General features: G+C 38.3%; 1 protein-coding gene across 8 annotated transcripts in view; it reads left to right on the top strand.

Moving 5' to 3' along the window:
- The window catches only part of TOPBP1 (DNA topoisomerase II binding protein 1), a 61,704-nt gene that overhangs the window by 13,999 nt on the left and 26,228 nt on the right, over positions 1–21,477 (top strand). For all 8 annotated transcript variants that reach the window (XM_047447355.1, XM_017005636.3, NM_001363889.2 and 5 more), the window contains exons 11-16: positions 3,580–3,923; positions 4,571–4,743; positions 7,773–7,984; positions 9,781–10,067; positions 19,210–19,383; positions 19,472–19,581. In XM_047447355.1, coding sequence (XP_047303311.1) covers positions 3,580–3,923; positions 4,571–4,743; positions 7,773–7,984; positions 9,781–10,067; positions 19,210–19,383; positions 19,472–19,581 — 1,300 coding nt within the window. The remainder of the gene's footprint in view (positions 1–3,579; positions 3,924–4,570; positions 4,744–7,772; positions 7,985–9,780; positions 10,068–19,209; positions 19,384–19,471; positions 19,582–21,477) is intronic.

Below are 21,477 nucleotides of genomic sequence, written 5' to 3'. Positions count from 1 at the left end.
TTGCCTCTCCCCCATTCTCTATATTCTCTTAACTCCCATTTGCTTTGCATATAGGTCACTTAACCTGTCCTTATCTTCCATCTTTTTGTCTTTCTGTGATTTATTATGTGTAATTCCTTCAGATTTTTTTCCAGATCACGAATCATCTCTTCCGCTATTGCCTAATCTGTTTTACCCATCCATTAAATTTTCTGTTTTAATAATTAATTTTTCAATTCCTAGAAGTTTTAGCTTTTTAAATAGTCTGTCATTTATTTTTTTACTTTTAAAAATAGAGATGGGGTGCTACTATGTTACCCAGGCTGGTCTTGAAGCACCTCAGCCTCCCAAAGTGCTGGGATTGCAGGTGTGAGCCACCACACCCAGCCAAGTCTGTCATTTTGTATTTGTATTTTTTGTTCTTTATTTCTTAAAACACATTAAACCTATCAAAACATCTGTGAATTGTTCTGTTGGCTGTTGTTTATGGTGCCTGGTTTTCTTGTGTTTTGTGATTTTTATTGTGAACTTGTACTTACTAGGACTCTAGGAATTCTAAGAAACTTGGGGTAGGGGTTTGTTACCCCAGAAAAGGTTCATGTTTGGGTCTGCTAGGTGCCTAGGAGTTTACAAACTCAATATGCCTTTAAGTTGGTGTATTGGCTGGAGGTTTCTTAGACCTCCAGCTATATGAATTTATACCCAAACCTACTTTGAGGACCAGCCTCTGATGAACAGATTCTTAGGAGAGATGTTGTTTCCCCTTGACACAAAGCCAGTGTTCTTGACCTCTTCCTTTACAGGGCAGATTTGTTGTTGGTTGGTTGGTTAGTTTTGGTCTGTTTACTAAAGATATGTCTCTTCATGGGTTCTGGGCTTGTTCTCTCAGGGTATACTCTCCTTCACCTCTAAGTTTTATGAAACCAAAGGATTGGCTCCTATCTCTTGTGTGATACCTTTACATTCCAAGGGTCTGGGTTACTGCACAGATATTTAATAGATTTTGACTAACCATTAGCTTTAGTAACTACTTAATGTTCTGGATTTAGTAACCACTTTAGTGGTCTGGATTTTAATATTTTATCCTGTATTTTGAAGTGTTTTTAGTGAGAGTGTTTCAAAGATCCTAGCCCACCATATTTCTAGAGAGGGAATTCCTAGCATTCCTTTTTTATTTACACTATTTCCGTACTACAAAATTGACTTTTCTCAAACCATTTACTTATGCTTTAGTATTGTATCACATCAGGAAATCATCTTGATTTTCCAGGATGCTGTGGTATAACTGAAAGTGATTTTTTTTTTTTTTTTTGGAGACAGGGTCTCACTCCATCACTGAGGATGGAGTGTAGTGTCACAAGCTTGGATCACTGCAACCTCCTCCTCCCGAGTTCACGCAATTCTCTTCCCTCAGCCTCCTTAGTAGTTGGGAGTACAGGTGTGCACCACCACGCCCAGCTAATTTTTGTATTTTTAGTAGAGATGGGGTTTCACCATGTTGGCCAGGTTGGTCTCAAACTCCTGGCCTCATGTGATCCTCCTGTCTTAGCCTCCCAGAATGTTGGGATTACAGGCTTGAGCCACTGCACCCAGCCAGCAATTTTACATACTATCCTTCAGCCAAGGGTACTTGGTGTAGGGCAGGTGATTAGTTTCTTAAACCTTCCTAAGACAGCTAGTGGTTTACTGACTTTATAAGGATTAAGTGATGGTAAATCTTAGTGGATCACCAAGCATCTTAGAAAGTCTATAATAAAGTATTTTATAATTAATTCTTAAAATGGCTTTTGATTTAAGGGAGTTTTTTGTTTTTTTTTTGAGATGCAGTCTTGCTCTGTCACCAGGCTGGAGTGCAGTGGCGTGGTCTTGGCTCACTGCAACCTCTGCCTTCTGGGTTCAAGTGATTCTCCTGCCTCAGCCTCCCAAGTAGCTGGGATTACAGGCACGTGCCACCATGCCCAGCTAATTTTTCTATTTTTAGTAGAGATGGGGTTTCTCCATGTTGGCCAGGCTGCTCTTGAACTCCTGACCTTGTGATCCACCCACCTCAGCCTCCCAAAGTGCTGGGATTACAGGCATGAGCCACCGCGCCCGGCCCTAGGGGAGCTTTTTGAATGATAGGTTTATTATGTAGTATCTCTTAGGCTTTTGGGTGCGGTCTGTTTGAAAAGAGATCCTACTGCTAAAATAAACGGAAAGAACTGCTGTAGAACATGTTAGTTTATTATGAGTCTCTTAATAACTTCAGAGTTTTACTGATGGTTTATAAGAACTTAGTATTTCTACTTTGTTTTTATAGTAGTAGTCTAAAATTCTACTGGATTTCTTCCTCCTTCCCATCTTACCAACAACATATAGACGTCGAAAAAAGTTATTTTTTTCTCCTAGATGTGACTGCAAAATAATTGTACTTGCAAAAAATAAGAAGGTTTTTACTTATAAAACAAACTTTACATTTTAACAAAACTGTTTAAAAAACTTTCCGGAATGTTTTATAGTATTGCCTCACCTTTAATTCCATCTAAGCATATTCATTCCCATGAGTATATCTGTAAATTATAAGTATACTATTACCCTTTATTCCTTATATTATGAAACCAAGGGTCAAAGAGACTATAAAACTAGAACCCAGCTCTCCTGACTTACTGACCAGTAAACTCCCTAGACAAAACTATGCTTCCTTAGTGCGAATAAGTACAATTTTAATACTTATGTTTAGTAGGAGTCATAAGTTCCTAATATATATTGCAGTGTACTTAATTTACAAGTTCCTAATGTATATTACAATTTACTTAAAAATGAAAATGCTAGTGTCTGTTGGAGATGAGGATAGAAGTACGAAGATGGCACTATAACATGGTGGTGTGAACTCTGGAGTTAGACAGACTTTGGTTTGTATCTCATTTCTGCCACTTAACTGTGTGACCTTAGGCAAGTTACATAACCTCTTCAAGCCTGAGACTCCTTTTGTACAAAAGGGATGTACTGATAGTATCAGCCTCACAGTTAGCATTATGTGAGCATTACATGCATTTGTAAAGCACTTAGTCACAGTGCTTATATAAATGAAAGAGTGATTCTTGGATAGCTTCCAGCCTTGTTGGAATCACATAGCAGGGCAAACTTTTTCTCTAAAGGAGTAGACAATAAATATTTTAGGATTTGCCAGCCACTTCCTTATAGTTATTTCCATGTTAACATGTTCCATGTTAAGGACTTGACAGTTATACCATTTAGACTTGTTAATTTTTTTCTTAATGATAGTTTCTTAATTTTATGGTGAATCATCTAAACCAGTTTTGGAACTAAGTCCTGTTGGAGCTATATAATTTTAAACTAATTCAAGTTTCCATTATACTAGGAATACCTAGAACTAACATGATTGCTCTTGTCCTTCCCAATGGATGATGGTAATACTGATAAGGACTCTTGGTAACCCCGAAGACGGGGTGAATCCATATCCCTTTATTATACACGTAAGCTTTAGTTTTGTAAGTATGGTCAAAATTATCAGATTCCATGTTACGTTAATATCCTTGCTAGGAAGTAAACTGTATAAGGTAAATTGTTGGTTAGAAAACATTTACTTTTCTCTTTCAGTTGAGGCTAAGACGTCTGAAGCCAGGCCCTTTAATGATTCTACTCATGCTGAGCCCTTGAATGATTCTACTCACATTTCTTTGCAAGAAGAAAACCAGTCTTCTGTCAGTCATTGTGTCCCTGATGTTTCTACAATTACTGAAGAAGGCTTATTTAGCCAAAAGAGTTTCCTTGTTTTGGGTTTTAGTAATGAAAATGAATCTAACATCGCAAACATCATAAAAGAAAATGCTGGGAAAATCATGTCCCTTCTGAGCAGAACTGTTGCGGATTATGCTGTGGTTCCTCTGCTGGGGTGTGAAGTGGAAGCCACTGTGGGAGAAGTTGTTACAAATACATGGCTGGTAAGACAACACTAGTGGTTGAAATAAAGTATCGAAGGATATCTGAATGCCAAGAAGGTTAATGTTTATTTCTTAGACAGTTCAGTTACAGTAAATCAATGCTTGGACTTGAACACTCTTGATTTTGCTTTTAGCAAGGGAAATTCAAAATTAAATGTGCAAGCTTCTTGGCCTAATCCCGATACAGTAGAGATTACTGTTTCCCAGGGCCACAGCAGCAACATTCCTTCTTAGGAGGTCACTCTAGGGTCATCTCATACTATTTGTCTTGTTTTCTCATAACCAAAGCATCACTGGTAATTTCACTGTTGATTTTTTTTTTTTTAACATTCCAAGAATTATGAGAAAAATAGTATAAACTAATACATTAGAAGGAATGAAATTTAAAGCAACATTCAGTAACTCTAATAATAGATCTTACCGATTTTAATAGCCTAATGTAATTAGTCGATGTATGTATATGTGTGTATGTATATATATACTCTAACATTATGATATGAAATGTATTGAGAATGAGCATACACAAGTTTGTATTAAAGTAAAATTTCTTCTTATCAAAACTAAATTATTGCTTCTGTACCTGAACCAGTGTTAACCACTGGTTGCTTATTTCAGGTTGGCTTTACTATTTCTTTTGTTTTTAAAAGGTTACTTGCATAGACTATCAGACTTTGTTTGATCCAAAGTCGAATCCTCTCTTCACACCAGTTCCAGTAATGACAGGAATGACTCCTTTAGAGGATTGTGTTATTTCATTTAGCCAGTGTGCTGGAGCAGAAAAAGAGTCTTTAACATTCCTAGCAAACCTCCTTGGAGCAAGGTATGTAATATTTTTAATGCACCTGTTGTATTGGTGTATCTTTTTATTTATTTTGACTTCTTGGAGAGCATTCAAATTAGAATTTGGTTGGGTGTCTTTATTATATTTATGAGTGTTATGTGGTTCCTTCTCCACTCCCACTGCTTCACTTGACTAGCCTTAAAAAAAAAAAGTGCCTCTGTTGTCCAAAGATGAAAACTTAGGTATCATTAGAGGTAATAACTGCAGTGGGTCCAAACACATGAAATAGTGTTTAAGTTGTGACTTCATAATGACACCAAATAAAGTAAGGTAATTGGTCATCTTTGAAAGATGCTAGAGAACCAGTCCATTACTTTGAAAGCTGACAAAAGGAAAGGATCAAGGAATTACCTTGCATTTCCTGTGCAGTTTGCATCAGGGTAACATGATAGTGGATACGACAAAGTTTCCCTTTATAAAGATGTTTCAACAAACAAATAAATAAATAAGGAATGATAAGACTGTAACCCCTAATGAATGAAAGAATCTAGGCATTGAACATCAATAGTCGATCACACAATAAAGGGACAAGACATGATGTGCCTTCTTACAAAGAATACACCACCACTTTGAAGTAGTCTTGCCAAAATAATCAAACCTCAATCTGATGATGCTTCTAGATCCAATTCCCAATTTATAGGAAATGCAAACAGCAGAATAACACGTTAAACTATACTACAGTGATATAATCAGCAAGACCCAGACTTTAGTACAACTCTGGCATAAATGATCCAGTGTCTTCAATGAATATATATTAAGGGCATGGAAAAGAAGGTAGGAACCTATAAGCTAAAAGACTTGAAAAAGCAAAAGCCTAAATGTAGTCTTTAAAGTTGCCATTATTTGATTATAGAAAAGTAAAGAAGTGATTACTATAAGTATCCAAATAGGCCAAGCACAGTGGCTCACACCTGTAATCCCAGCACTCGGGAGGCTAAAAGATTGCTTGAGCTCAGGAGTTCAAGACCAGCCTGTACAACATAGTGAGACCTCGTCTCTATTTAAAAAATAATAAAAAAAAATGAGCCAGGCATGGTGGCATGTGCCTATGGTCCCAGCTACTCGGGAGGCTAAGGCAGGAGGATTACTTGAGCCCAGGAGACCAGGGCTGCAGTGAGCTATGATCACACAACTATACTCCAGCCAGGGCAACAAAATGAGATCCTGTCTCCAAAAAAAAGCCCAAATAGTGGCTACTATTAAGAAGGGAGGGAAGGGGGTTTATATGGCATGTTGGAGAGGTTCTGGGGTAGTTAGCAAGATTCTGTCTTCTGACCTGGGTGGTGGACTTAAGGGTTTCACCTTATAATAATTCGTATAGCTGTATATTTCTTTTTTTGCTGTTTTCTGTTTGAATTATATGAAATAATAAAATTCTTTTAAAACTGAAATTGTGGAAGATAATAACATACATGATGACAGACTCCACTGGATACAGCTAAAGCTGTACTCAGCAGGAAAGTCATGCAAATTCTGAAATAGAATAATTGGGACTAGCCCTAACAGTTATTAAAATATATTTTGTGGCCAGGTCTGGTGGTTCATGCCTGTAATCCTAGCACTTTGAGAGGCCGTGGCAGGAGGCCAAGTTCAACACCAGCCTGGACAATATACTGAGACCCTGTCTTTACAAAAAATTTTAAAAATGAGCCAGGCAATGTAGCATAAATCTGTAGTCTCAGTTATTTGGGAGGCTGAGGTGGGAGGATTGTTTGAGCCTGGGAGGTCAAGGCTGCAGTGAGTCACAGTGGCGCCACTGTACTCTAGCCTGGAGGACAGAGCAAGACCCTGTCTCAGAAAACAAACAAACAAATATATATTTTGTGAAACTTCACTAAATAACAGTGTGGTTACGTGTAGCAGAAAGTTTAATTAATGGACAGCAAATGTAGCAGGAGACCCAAATGTAAAAAGGAATTTACGATACAAGTGACATTTCAAATATATATAAGGAAGACATGGCTTATTCAATAAATAGGATTCATTAAAGTTGGAGCAGTATCTCATATCTAAATAAGTACTGAATGGATTGGTGGGTTAAATGTAAAAAATGAAATTATAAAAGTACTAAGATAAACACAAAACATAGAAAAAAAAAGTGCTAGGAAACATGGGAAATTTAAAAATCTGAAAAGTTGGGAACTAGAACATAAAACCCAGAAGTCATAAAAGAAATCACGGAATTCTGTTCAATCTCAAGTCGTAGACTTCTTTTTCTGCCCCGTATTCTCTGTGTTTAATATCCTATGATCTTGAGGCACTTAATTTCTCTGTATTTTTTCCCATGTCTATACTTAAATATTGAGAGGATCAAATGAGATAATATGTAGAAATGCTTTGGAAAGTTGTAGTAGGTTAAAAAATAATAATAATGTTATTTATACACTTTGCTCCTGTCATTTTTTCTGTGCCTTCTTTTGGGAGGAAAGGACAAGGTGTGGGGGTGATAACTAATTAAGGAGGTAATTTTGGCTGTGTGAGGTGGTTCACGCCTGTAATCCCAACTTTAGGAGGCTGAGGCAGGAGGATCACTTGAGCTCAGGAGTTCGAGACCAGGCTAGGCAACATTGTGAAACCCCATCTCTACAAAAAATACAAAAATTAGCCAGGTGTGGTGGTGTACACCTGTAGTCTTAGGTACTGGGGAGGCTGAGGTGGGAGGATGGCTTGAGCCTGGGAGGCGGAGGTTGCAGTGAGCTGTGATTGTGCCACTGCACTCCAGTCTGGACAACATAGCAAGACCCTGTCTCAAAAGGATTTTTGCTGTCTGTTCTTTGCATGTCTAATTATGTTTTTATAAAAAGTTTGTTACAGCAATACATTTTTACCCTAGAGTAAGCATTTGTAAGGGGATTAGCTTAATTTCAGATAGAGTAAACCAACTTTTAATCAGTATTTTTTTTTATACTTACATGATCTCTAACCACACTGTTGTGTTGGAAATTTTGTTAGTTTTGCGGGTTAATTGTATATGTGACCATTTCCACTTCTTTAAACATAAATTTCAGTGTTCAAGAATACTTTGTTCGCAAATCCAATGCAAAGAAAGGCATGTTTGCCAGTACTCATCTTATACTGAAAGAACGTGGTGGCTCTAAATATGAAGCTGCAAAGAAGTGGAATTTACCTGCCGTTACTATAGCTTGGCTGTTGGAGACTGCTAGAACGGGAAAGAGAGCAGACGAAAGCCATTTTCTGATTGAAAATTCAACTAAAGAAGGTTAATACTTTTATTCTGTTCTTTTATATATATTTACAACTAGATGGTTTCTGGGATATAAATGTGCCAATGCTTGTGTTTAGGAAGGGTCATTGATTTTTGCTTTTCACATTGGGTGCAGTGAGGGTCTCAGTGTTCGAAGTCTACAGATGTAAGCTTGGCTCCTATTTACTGTTGATTCTTTCTATGGCTCATAGTAACACACTATATAATTAACATGCTATCTCTCCTCTTATCTTTGGGCTTCTGCATGTTTCCTGTAGACCACCTCACAGTTGCCTGCTCTTCCTGCTTATCTTTCAGTTCTCAGCTAAGATACCACTTTCCCTGGGAAGCCTTTCATTTTTTCTTTTTAATTATTATTACACTTTAAGTTCTGGGGTACATGTGCACAATATGCGGGTTTGTTACATATGTATACATGTGTCATGTTGGTTTGCTGCACCCATTAATTCGTCATTTACATTAGGTATTTCTCCTAATACTATCCCTCCCCCATCCCCCCATCCTACGACAGGCCCCGGTGTGTGATGTTCCCTGCCCTGTGTCTGTTCAATTCCCATCTATGAGTGAGAACATGCGGTGTTTGGTTTTCTGTCCTTGTGATAGTTTCCTCAGAATGATGGTTTCCAGCTTCATCCATGTCCCGACAAAGGACATGAATTCATCCTTTTTTCTGGCTGCATAGTATTCCATGGTGTATATGTGCCACATTTTCTTAATCCAGTCTATCATTGATAGACATTTGGGTTGGTTCCAAGTCTTTGCTATTGTGAATAGTGCTGCAATAAACATATGTGTACATGTGTCTTTATAGTAGCATGATTTGTAATCCTTTGGGTATATACCCAGTAATGGGATCGCTGGGTCAAATGGTATTTCTAGTTCTAGATCTTTGAGGAATCGCCACACTGTCTTGGGAAGCATTCTTGACTCACCAAGGATGGCCTTTGTCTTGGTATAATGTTTTTTGTTTCACCATGACACTCTGTATCATCCCTTTTATCTCTTACCTCAGTGTTATAATGGTTGTTTATTTTGTGTCTTCCTGCTAAATTTAAAGTTCCAGAAAGGCAGTGAACATGCATGTCTTGTGAATTCTGTATTTCCCATGTCTAACACTAGGCCTGGCATGGAGTAGCTATCTAATAAGGTTTTTTGTTAAATGTTGAAAAAAGGTGGAAGGCATAGGTGGAAGAATACAGTACCCTCTCTTGTAAGATAATAGCATCCATGGGCAAACTTCAGGGACATATCAGCAGCTTGGGAATACCTCTCAGAGTCATTACTTATTTTGCCAGACAGACTGGTAATTTTATGACTGAGGCTAAGTGATGTTCAGGTCATATTAAAATTTGATTAAGGACTTTCCAAAACTAGACTGTAGTTAACTCTGAGTACCTGTAATTGAGATTTTTCTTTTTACTCTGTCATTGACTAGAAAGACATTCACTGATAACAATTTTTGGCAAATAGGCTTATTGAGACATAGCAAGATGAAACAGGAAATCTATTATTATTTTTTCAGTTAATGTGCTTGTCTAACTCAACATATATTTAATGCATAATCTGGTTTGTTTCTTGGAAAGTAGGTATATAATTTTGTGATTTAAAGTGTACCTGAGAATTGACATGAAAACTAACAGATTAGGATGCCGAGGTAGATGGATCTCTTGAGCCCAGGAGTTATGCAAGAAAGAAAGGAAAGAAAACAGTATAAAATATTACTTCTTGTGTACCGGGAAAAAGTGGGCATTAGTGGCTCATATTTGTTTCTTTTCATTTTAAATCTCTAGAACGAAGTTTGGAAACAGAAATAACAAATGGAATCAATCTAAATTCAGATACTGCAGAGCATCCTGGCACACGCCTGCAAACTCACAGAAAAACCGTCGTTACACCTTTAGATATGAACCGCTTTCAGAGTAAAGCTTTCCGTGCTGTGGTCTCACAACATGCCAGACAGGTCGCAGCCTCCCCAGCAGTAGGACAACCACTTCAGAAGGAGCCCTCGTTACACCTGGATACACCATCAAAATTCCTGTCCAAGGACAAACTCTTCAAGCCTTCCTTTGATGTGAAGGTAAGGTTTATAGGCAGTGGTCCCAGAGTTAACAGTTTTACCGTTTATAAAGTTAAAGCACCAAATTTGGCATCACCTCTGAAGTGTAGTAATAAATTTTCCAGAGACATTGGCAAGTAGATTTATGTTACTGAGTTTGAACGTTTTGAGTCCCAGCATACATTTAGGGTTAAGGTAACAGCTATAGATAAATATGGTGTGAAATTAGGACATCTGGGTTCAAGTACTGGATCGATCTTGAACTGTATGACTAGGCCAATCATTTAACATATCTGAGCTTCAGTTTGTTTTTTCATACAAAGAAGATAATATTTGCTCTGAAAATTCATAGATTATAAAGATCAAATGATGAAATCACTTTATAAACTATAAAATGTAAACACACTGATACTTTATATATTGGTTCTCAGAGTACACCCGGGATTTGCCTTCTGAAAATGTGTGTATATCACCTTACTTGAATTGTTTCCTGTAAAGACATGAGTTAAGTCTGTGTTTTAGTTTGATCTCGTGAGCATTGTAGTATGGCTCCCTTTCTGAAAAATGCATTTGTAAATCAGGGGCTAATGTAATCTTCCAAATAATTTTCTTTGATTTTCCAAAACTGATTTTCATCATTATTTCTTTAGTAGCTTTTGACCTCTTAAGTGGCTGTTCAAACCCACTGTCTATGATTTCTTTATCCACGAACCTTTGAAGAATTATTTTACTCATTCACGTGTTGATATTTTTGCTTGTAGGGTATTTAGAAGCAATATTTTAATAATTTTTATTGTGTTTTGGAGTGGACTTACTAAAAAGTTTATAGATTATTCATATTCAGAAAATAAATATTAATTGATATCCAGGACAGTTTTCCCCAAGCTAATTTATGCCTTTATTTTTGGTCAGAATTCCAGTGACGCACATTAAAAAAAGTGTGTCTTTACTATTAAACTCAAAATTCTAAGTTTTCACATGAAATCTCTTCTGAGGTAACATTTTGTACTGTGATTAATACTCAGGTCCATATCCCTTAAGACATAGAGGAAAATCAGTCTTGAGAACTGTGAGGTGTAGGATCAAGCCTCTTCTTTGCCTCCTACTGCCTTTTAAAAGCAAGTCAACCTCTTTCGGCTTCATTATTCTCATCTATAAAATCCAGATGATCTCTAAAGTGTCATAGCTCACAGACTCTCTGAAGAGCAAATGTAATAATATTGGTGGGCAAGAAAATAGTAGAGATATTTTCAGTCATTGAGACCATTCTTATATAGATACATTGCAATAAAAGTTTTGCAGTGGAAAGCTGATAGTTCTGAATAGCCTCAATACAAAAAACACATTAAAGATTTTATTGTTTAGAGTCATAGTTTATTGAGCAGTGTTTTTCCTCTTTTTTCTTTCTTTTTTGATGGCACATAAATAATGCTTCATCTTATAATCTTATAAGCATTATAATGCTTCATCTATAATCTTATAATCAGATGATAATCTTATCATCTTCAAACTGATATAATATGGTATGTTGAATTCTTTACTTAAAACATGAAAGGGCCCATGGAATAATCACAAAATTGACCATCTATTAGGCCTCACCCTTGCCCCCCTCAAAAAAACTCACCACTTATTTAAACTTAATTTTTAATTAATATACATCAGAGCAGTACAATAAATATACTGCTAATGAACTATCAGGGTTAATCATTGAGAAGCCACTATACACGTTCAGATAGAGACCATGGTCAGTACTGTAAACCCTTCCTTGTGGCTCCATCGCTGCTTCCTCCCTAAAGTATACTCCTGACTTCTAATAACTATAGTTTTGTTATGCTTGTTTTTGACTTTTAAATATGTGGAATCATAGTATGTATTCTTTTGAGTCTGTTTTTTTTTTATTGTTCTTTAACCCTTATTTAGATTTGTCTGTTTTGCTGCATGCAAATATAGTTCATTTATTTATTCCTTTGTATGGATATACAGAATTTACATTTCCAGTGTACTGTTGATGGGCATTTAGTTGGTTACTAGTTTTTTGCCCTTACAAAATAATTTTACTGTGAACATTCTTGTGCGTGTCTCTTGGAGTCTATGTGTGTGTGTTACTATGTGGTATATACCTGGAAGTGAAATTGTTGGGTTATATTTCAGCTTCAGTAGAGAATGACAAATTTTTTGCCAAAGTGATTATACCAGTTCATGCTTCCACCAGTAGTGTGTTGAGTGTACCCAGTGTTCCTCATCTTTGCTGATACTTGCTATTATAAGTTGTTTTATTTCACTTTTTACTTCAAAATAATTTCTAACTTACAAAAAGTTGCAAAATAAAAGTGGTACAAGGGGCTGGGCGTGGTGGCTCACACCTGTAATCCCAGCATTTTGGGAGGCTGAGGTGGGAGCCTCACTTGAGACCAGGAGTTCTGGACCAGTCTAGGCAATATAGCGAGACCGCCATCTCTAACAAATTTTTTTTTTAATTAGCTGGGCTTGGTGGAGTGCACCTATAGTCCTAGAACTCAGGAGGGTGAGGCAGCAAGATGGCTTGAGCCCAGGAGTTTGAGGCTGCAGTGAGCTATCATCCTACCACTGCACTCCAGCCTGAGTGACAGAGCAAGACCCTGTCTCAAAAAGAAATAAGTACAAGGATGGCTGGACATAGTGGCTCATGCCTGTTATCCCAGCACATTGAGGCTGAGGTGGATCACTTGAGGCAAGGAGTTGGACACCAGCCTGGGCAACATGGTGAGACCCCACATCTACAAAAAGTTGGAAAAATTAGCTGGGCATGATGATGCATACCTCTTCTTACTTAAATAGTATTCTTTATTATTTGTCAGTTTTAAATTATATTTTTGACTCCCACTAATTGCCTGTATAGAAGATCTTATTCTCTTTCCCCCTTTTCTCTCTTCTATTTTTCATTGCATATTTTTTTACTTTGTCAGGAGGGAAAATATATTTTTTCAACCCACAGACCCCACCCTCGTTTTGGTCTTAACTCTACAATCGAATATATGAAATGTGTACTCTTCTTTTTGAAGCTTACCTGTCACTTTTGGTAGGATGAAGTTCATTTTCTAGTAGGTTCCTCAGGAATCTGTGTGTACACACGTGTACAGTATTCCTTGAGTTCTGCATGTTCATAACTTTTACTGTGGCCTTGCTTCTTCTACAAATTGTTTGGATGTACTATTCTTAGCTTGCAGTTTTTTTTCTTGAGTTTCCTGAAAATGCTCTTCCACTACTGCCTTGCTTTGTATGTGTTGTTTTTGAAAAAAAATCTGATGCCAATCTAATTAAATTACTTGTCTTTGGAAGTTATTTCATCTTTTTGCCTGGAGGTCATGTGGATTTTTCTTTTATCTTTTATCTTTTTTTTTTAAGACAGAGTCTCGCTCTGTCACCCAGGACCCAGGCTAGAGTGCAGTGGCACAATCTCAGCTCACTGCAACCTCTGCCTCCTAGGTTCAAGCGATTCTCCTGCCTCAGCCTCCCGAGTAGCTGGGATTACAGGCATGCGCCACCATGCCCGGCTAATTTTTGTATTTTTAGTAGAGATGGGGTTTTGCCATGTTGGCCAGGCTGACCTTGAACTCCTGATATCAAGTGATCTGCCTGCCTTGGCCTCTGAAAGTGCTGGGATTACAGGCATGAGCCACAACACCTGGCCTTTTCTTTTATCTTTGAACTCAAATAGTTTCACGAGGATGTCTAGATGTTAAGAATTCTCAATCATTTGAAATCAGTTTTCCACAATACATGGTAGGTTTTAAAATTTGATTCTTTTCAAATTTTTGGTCTGAGAGATGAGAAGAATGGAGTTGCCAGTCCAAACTGAGTTGAACAGAACAGGTTGGGATTGGAGCCTAAAGATCTAGAGTTCACATGTTAGACACATTAAGTTTGAGATGCCTATTAGATATCCAAGTAGTTGTTAAATAGGCAGTTGCAAATAACGCTGGAAGTTTGAGGAATGGTTTGGGCTGGAGATAAAAATTTGGGGTTCTGAGTTTGTAGGTAATGTGTAAAGCCATGTGAGAATAGATGCCAAGAGAGTAGGAGAAGGCAAAGAAAGGAAAAAGGTTTTGTTTTGTTTTGTTGTGTTTAAGACAAGGTCTCGCTGTGTCGTCCAGGCTGGAGTGTAGTGGCATGATCACAGCCCATTATAGCCTTGACCTCTGGACTCAAGCAATACTTCCACCTCTGCCTTCAAAGCAACTAGGACTTCAGGTGCATGTCACCACACCTGGCTAATTTTTAATTTTTTTGTAGATACGGGGATCTTACCACATTGCTCAGACTGGCCTTAAATTCCTGGACTTGAGCAATCCTCCTGCCTTGGCCTCCCAAAGTGTTGGGGTTATAGGTGTGAGCCACCACGTCCAGCCAAAGAAAAGAGCTCTAAGCAACACCTTGAGGTGCTCACCTTTAGAGGAGGAACCAGCAAAGGAGACTGAGAAGGAGCTATAAGAGAAGAGGAAAGCCTAGAGCTTATTTCAAAGAGCCAAGTATTTCAAAGAGGGAGGAGGGGTTAACTATGTCCAGGACTGCTCTAAGATAAAGAAAGGTGAGAATAGAAAATTGGCCAGTGGATTGAGCATTATGAAGGTCAATGGCGTCATCATAACAATAAGGGTTTTGGTGGCATGATGGAGGTGGAAGCTGGTGTGGGTTCATAAAGAAATGAGAAGAATCGGAGACATTGAGTGTAAACAACGATTTTTGAAGGAATCTTGCCATAAAGGGGAGCCAAGAAATGGAGTTGTAGTTATGGGGCAAAGTAGGGTCAAAAGAAGGTTGTTTTCTTTTTAAGGTGGAAGAAATAGCCAGGCTCAGTGGTGCATGCCCATAATCCCAGCACTTTGGGAGCCCAAGACGGGAGGATCACTTGAGTCCAGGATTTCAAGACAAATCTGGGCAACATGGCAAGACCCTGTCTCTACAAAATACACAAAAATTAGCTGGGTGTGGTGGTGCACGTCTGTAGCCCCAGCTAGTTGGTAGGCGGAGGCAGGAGGATTGCTTGAGTCCAGGAGATAGAGGACGCAGTGGGCAGTGATCATGCCGCTGTACTCCAGCCTGGGTGACAAACTGAGACCCTGTCTCAAAAAAAGAAGAAGAAATAACTATATGCCAGTGTAACTGCCATTAGAGAGCCAATTGATGATGCAGATGAGAGAAGGAAGACTTGCAGGAGGCTTGAGTCTGAGAGGCATTGGGATCTACTTCTTAAGTAGAGGAAGGTACTAGTGGCACGTGTGCTGAAGGCAGATAGATGTGGTATGGGAGCTTCTGATTTTTATATAAGGAATCCTCTAAAATGCTTTGAAGAAATTTTAAAAAGTTTAGCATATAGAAAGACTTACCATGTTCTTGCAAAATAGATTTAAACATTGTCAAGATCTATAAAGGTGTATTAATCTGTTTGCACATTGCTATAAAGAACTACCCCAGACCGAGTAATTTATTCTTATTTTTATTTTTTTATTTTGAGATGGAGTCTTGCTCTTGTCACCCAGGCTGAAGTGCGGTGGCATGATCTCGGCTCACTGCAACCTCCGCCTCCTGGGTTCAAGCAATTCTGCTGCCTCAGCTTCCCAAGTAACTGGGATTACAGGCGCCTACCCCCACACCCGGCTAATTTTTGTATTTTCAGTAGAGACGGGGTTTCACTGTGTTGGGCAGGCTGGTCTCAAACTCCTGACCTCAAGTGATCCACCCACCTCAGCCTCCCAAAATGCTGGGATTACAGGCGCGAGCCACCACGTCCAACTTTATAAAGAAAAGAGGTTTAATTGACTCAGTTCCACAGGCTGTACAGGAAGCACCACTGGGGAGGCCTCAGGAAAATTACAATCACGGTCGAAAATGAAGGGGAAGTGAGCACGTCTTTCATGGCTGGAGAAGGAGGAAAAGATAGCGGGGGGAGATGCCACACACTTTTAAACAACTGGATATCAGCCAGGCGCAGTGGCTCACGCCTGTAATCCCAGCACTTTGGGAGGCCAAGGTGGGTGGATCACCTGAGGTCAGGAGTTCAAGACCAGCCTGGCCAATATGGCGAAACCCCATCTCTACTAAAAATATAAAAATGAGCCGGGTGTGATGGCATATGCCTGTAATCCCAGCTACTCGAGAGACTGAGGCAAGAGAATCACTTGAACCAGGAGGCAGAGATTGCATTGCACCAAGGTCGCGCCACAGCCCGGGCAACAGAGTGAGACTCCATCTCAAACCAGATATCATGAGAACTCACTCATTATCACAAGAACAGCAAGGGGGAAATCCGCCCCCATAATCCAGTCAACTGCCACCAGGCTCCTCCTCCATCATTGGGGATTACAGTTCAACATGAGATTTGAGTGGGGACACAAATCCAAACCATATCAAAAGGTAATGTAGGTCCTAGAAAAAAATGCAAGCAGAAACAATATTAAAAAAAATCTGAAAAGTATAATTGCAGGTAGGCAGTAGCCCTACCGTTTATTAAAACCTCCTATAAAGTTGCAGTAGTTAAAACAGTGTGGTGTCACGTGAATAATCAAGTTAGTGTATAAGATTATACTCCACAAATAGGGGAATTTATTATGTAATAAAGGTGGCATTCAAATTGGACAATTAGGTAGCCATCTGAAAATACGTTTGTAATTAAAGCTCACACTTTACATCAGAATACTTTTTAGATGATCAACTTTTGGGGTTTTTCTTGAAATAGGATCTCACTTTATCACTTAGGCTGGAGTTCAGTGGCATCATCGTGGCTCACTGCAGCTTTGACCTCCTGGGCTCAAGCAGTCCTCCCACCTCAGCCTCTGGAGTAACTCAGACTAGAGGTACATGACACTGTGCCCAGCTAATTGTATTTTTTGGAGAGGTAGAGTCTCACCATGTTGCTCAGGCTGGTCTAGAACTCCTGGGCTCAGGCAGTTCTGCCTTGGCCTCCCAAAGTGTTGGAATTACAAGCGTGAACAACCACACCCAGCCTAGATGATCAGATTTAAACATAAGAAATGAAGCCATAAAAATTCCCAAACATGTCATGAATTTGTTTCTAAAATAATCCTAGTGTGGGGAAGGCCTAACTATAACATACACTCCAAAAGAAATAGAAGATTCGTATGAATTTGACAGCATTAAAAATTCTCTAACTGGGTGTGATGGCACATACCTATAGTCCCAGCTGACAAGGGAGGATTGCTTGAGCCCTGGAGGCAGAGGTTGCAGTGAACTAAGATTGAGCCACTTCAGTCCGTTCTGGGCAAGAGAGCAAGACCCCGTCTCAAAAAACAAAAAAATTACAGCGAGTCACCGTGACTCACACCTGTAATCCCAGCACTTTGGGAGGCCAAGGCGAGAGGATTGCTTGAGCCTAGGAGTTTGAGACCAGCCTGGGAAAGACGGCAAGACCCTGTCTCTATGAAAAATTTTAAAATTAGCTGAGCACAGGGTTGTGCATCTGGAGTCCCAGCTACCTGGGAGGCTGAGGTGAGAGGATCCTTGAATCCAGGAGTTAGAAGTTACAGTGACCTATAATCATGCCACTGTACTCCAGCTTGGGTGACAAAGCAGGACTCCATCTCTGAAAAAAAAAAAAAGCTCCATGGCAAAAATTTGACAAATGATAAATTGAAAATAAATACGTGGGTATTATATCACAGTTGATACATGCACATATAAATTCATACAAATGAATATAAAAGTATATTCATACAAGCGAATATATTAAAAAAAAGACTAACAACCCAGTAGAAAAATGGGCAAAGGATAGGAGCAGATAGTTATCACAAAAAATTAGATATAAATATACATATAGCCAGGCGCGGTGGCTCACGCCTGTTATCCCAGCACTTTGGGAGTCAAAGGCGGTTGGATGATGAGGTCAGGAGTTTGAGATCAGCTTGAGCAACATGGTGAAACCCTGTCTCTACTAAAAATACGAAAAATTAGCCAGGCATGGTGGTGCATGCCTGTAGTCCCAGCTACTCGGGAGGCTGAGGCAGGAGAATCGCTTGAACCCAGGAGGCAGAGGTTGCAGTGAGCCGAGATCGCGCCATTGTACTCCAGCCTGGGTGACAGAGCGAGACTCCGTCTCAAAAATATATATATATATACACACACACACACATATAAAGATATTTAACCTCATTCAGTATAAAAGAGTAGAAAATTAAAGCATACAGATAAAATTTTTTAGTCTTATCAGATTGTCAAAAAAGAAAAATCTGATTACTGTGATATCAAGCACGTTTGGAAAACACACACACTCATACTTTGCTCATGAAAATGTCAACATTGGTAGATACATGTTGGTCTTGTTTTTTTAGTTTTTTTAAAAAGAAATTGGGTCTAACTGTGTTTCCCAGACTCGTCTCAAAACTCCTGGTCTTGAGCTGTCTTCTTGCTTCAACTTCTCTGGAGTAGCTGAGATTACTGACAGGAGCCACTGCACTGGGCTGGTAGATACATTTTGCTTAAAAGGTTTCCTTTACTCTTGTGTGTGCAAAATGGTTTGTGTACAAGGTTATTCATTGCATCATTATACTTGCAAAAGACTGTTAACCGAAAGCTTATCAGTTGTACACAGGTTAAATACATTCTGATACATACATGGAATACTATACACATGCAAAAGAGAATGAGCAAGCCATTTGGACAACAGTAGCTTCCTTTCAGGAGGGAACTGTTGGTGGCTTTAGAACAGGAATATATTTTGAACTTTTGAAGATTTTTTTTTTTTTAATTCTCAGCTCATTTTGACTTTCTAACCTTCCTTATAATCCATTTCTTGATTATATCCGTCGTTGCTTATTTGTTTCCTTCTGGGTTTTTTTGGTTTGTTTTGTTTTCAAATTCAACTCTAAGATTCAGGTAAGAGACAAGCACTGCTGAAAATGTAAGCTAGTTAGTCTCTTTGAACCAATTTGCTGGACAGTATGGAATTTTTGTTCACAGTATATGGATTTGATTATAGTTTATTCTTTTTCTTGTTATTTGGAGGAAAACTAGAGGAAGTTAAACTGTAATCCATTAATTTTGAGGATTCTCCCCCTTCTCTCTCTTTACCCCTCTCTCCTCCTCTTTCTTTTTCCTGTCCTATTAACCCATCTTGCTTCTCTCTCTCTCTCTTCTTTTCTCCATCTCTCTCTCTCCTTCATATGTATAGGATGCACTTGCAGCCTTGGAAACTCCAGGACGTCCCAGCCAACAGAAAAGGAAACCGAGTACGCCACTCTCAGAAGTTATTGTCAAAAACTTGCAACTTGCTTTGGCAAATAGCTCTCGAAATGCTGTCGCTCTTTCTGCCAGCCCTCAACTGAAAGAGGCCCAGTCAGAGAAGGTAGGATTAGTTCTCTTATTAAAAGGAAGTTTTAGATAACATTTCAAACAATAATGACTGATCTGTTTCTTTTATTTTCCATGGACAGGAAGAAGCCCCAAAGCCACTTCACAAAGTAGTGGTATGTGTTAGTAAAAAACTCAGTAAGAAGCAGAGTGAACTAAATGGGATCGCAGCCTCTCTAGGAGCAGATTACAGGTAGTTGGCACATCTTTCTGTTTCATGGTGATATGACTGAAATTTATAAGGAAACCTAAAGCTATTGTGAGCATCTACAAGAATACATTTATTTTGTTTCATGCATCTTTATCTACAAAATCTCTCCAGTTGATTTTTAATTTACCACATCTGTTGAAAATAGCCTCTCACATATCAATTCACTCTTATATGTATATAATGTATATTTTTTAGGGTATGCACAACAAATATTGGAGAGCCTATTTTATGCCACTAACTATTCTAGAAACCTGGGATCCATGAAGGATCAGTATAGTCTAAAAGAATCCCTGTGTTCAAGGAGTTTAGAGTCTATTAATAGTAATACATCTGGATCTGAGATTAAGTTTATTTTTACTAGTGATTTTTCAGATTAGAGCCCTCTGGGAGTAGTACTAAGTACTCTGGCAGCCCTCCTTTATTAAGATAGTCTTTTTTGAGCATGTTTTCATTATCTTTTTTTTTTTTTAAACTTTGGAGACTTAGATTGTCAGATTTTTCTTCAGTCAACCTGACAGCCTAAGCTGAAAACAGATCTCTAGCACAAATGGCATCAGTATCCAGAATTGAGAATCTCTTACCTATTTCAGCCAGTCCTGAGTTGACTGTACTCCTCCACTAGCTGTAATGCTTGCTTTGTTGATAACTTGTGTTCAGCCATTCATAGATATCATAAGAATTTGTTTAACAAATGATGAACCATTGCAGGAATATGATTAGTTTCATCTTCCCCTTTGGTAACTCTTATTTCAGTTTGTTTTCTATTTGATAAAGAAATTAGGACAGGAAAATATAGGAGTAAAATTGATCTGTAATACATATAAGCATCTTAGTGTTTGGTACATCCATTTGAAATAGTGAAGCTCTTCTACGGTATATTTGTATTACCTATTATAAATTGTTAGGTAATCTTATCTGTTATTATCTAATTACCTATTATGTTACCTATTGCCAGTTGCTGAGCATTATCTCGTTTCATTCTCATAGTAGCCCTACAAGGGGTGTGTGTATATTTTTTTTTCCTCAAAATTGAATGTTTCCTTGTTTATTCTGTTTTGATGTAGACATGATATAAGACTTTCAAGGGAACATATAGGATGTATGTTTTTATATGATTTTAAATGCCAGTCCTCTCAGTATAAAAAATAGAATTTATTACTGAAATTCCTAAACAGAATTTAACCATTGCATTGCATTAAAGTTTATATTAAATCTTTTCCTGAAATGGATTGGTAATTGATAAAGGGAAGAGCCTTATAATATGCAGAGGTTAGATATTTATATATGCATAGAGTAAAGCAGTTCTCAAGTGAAGTTGTTCCAAATGTTCCCTTCCATCATCTAGGACCAGACTGTCCCAAAGAGATCATCGGATACTGTCTTCTGTCTTCAGACAGTTAAACATGTAGGCCCGATCTTTGCAACAAATCAGATGCAGCATCTTCATTTTATTACAAATATTTGTGTAACATTCCCTCTATTAAAATGAATATAAATATAACCTACCTACTTTTATAATTTAAAAAAGTAGCAGACAGTATAGCACTCTGTGATGCATAGGAGAAATAGAAGGTGCATAATATAGAAAAGATATATGTTCAGTTATGTATAATGCCTAAGGCTGACTACACTAGAAAACAATGGAGTATTAATACGTTTGTATACCTATGTAAAGGCACCACAAATCCAACAGTCCCAAGGCTGAGACCGATCTGGGGACTCAGATACCATGAGTAGCAGTGGTCTTCCATCAATTTATACAGTAGTCACATTTTTGTAATATTAGTGTATATTAAAACTGCAAAAAAATAACTTGTTTATATGTCGAACAGGTTCTAGACTCAACTAATTATAAACAACTTTTTTTTACATACGTGA

Source organism: Homo sapiens, chromosome 3 (genome assembly GCF_000001405.40).
Source record: "Homo sapiens chromosome 3, GRCh38.p14 Primary Assembly".
In the NCBI taxonomy this organism is placed as follows: domain Eukaryota; kingdom Metazoa; phylum Chordata; class Mammalia; order Primates; family Hominidae; genus Homo; species Homo sapiens.
This window is presented reverse-complemented; position numbering and strand designations above follow the sequence as displayed.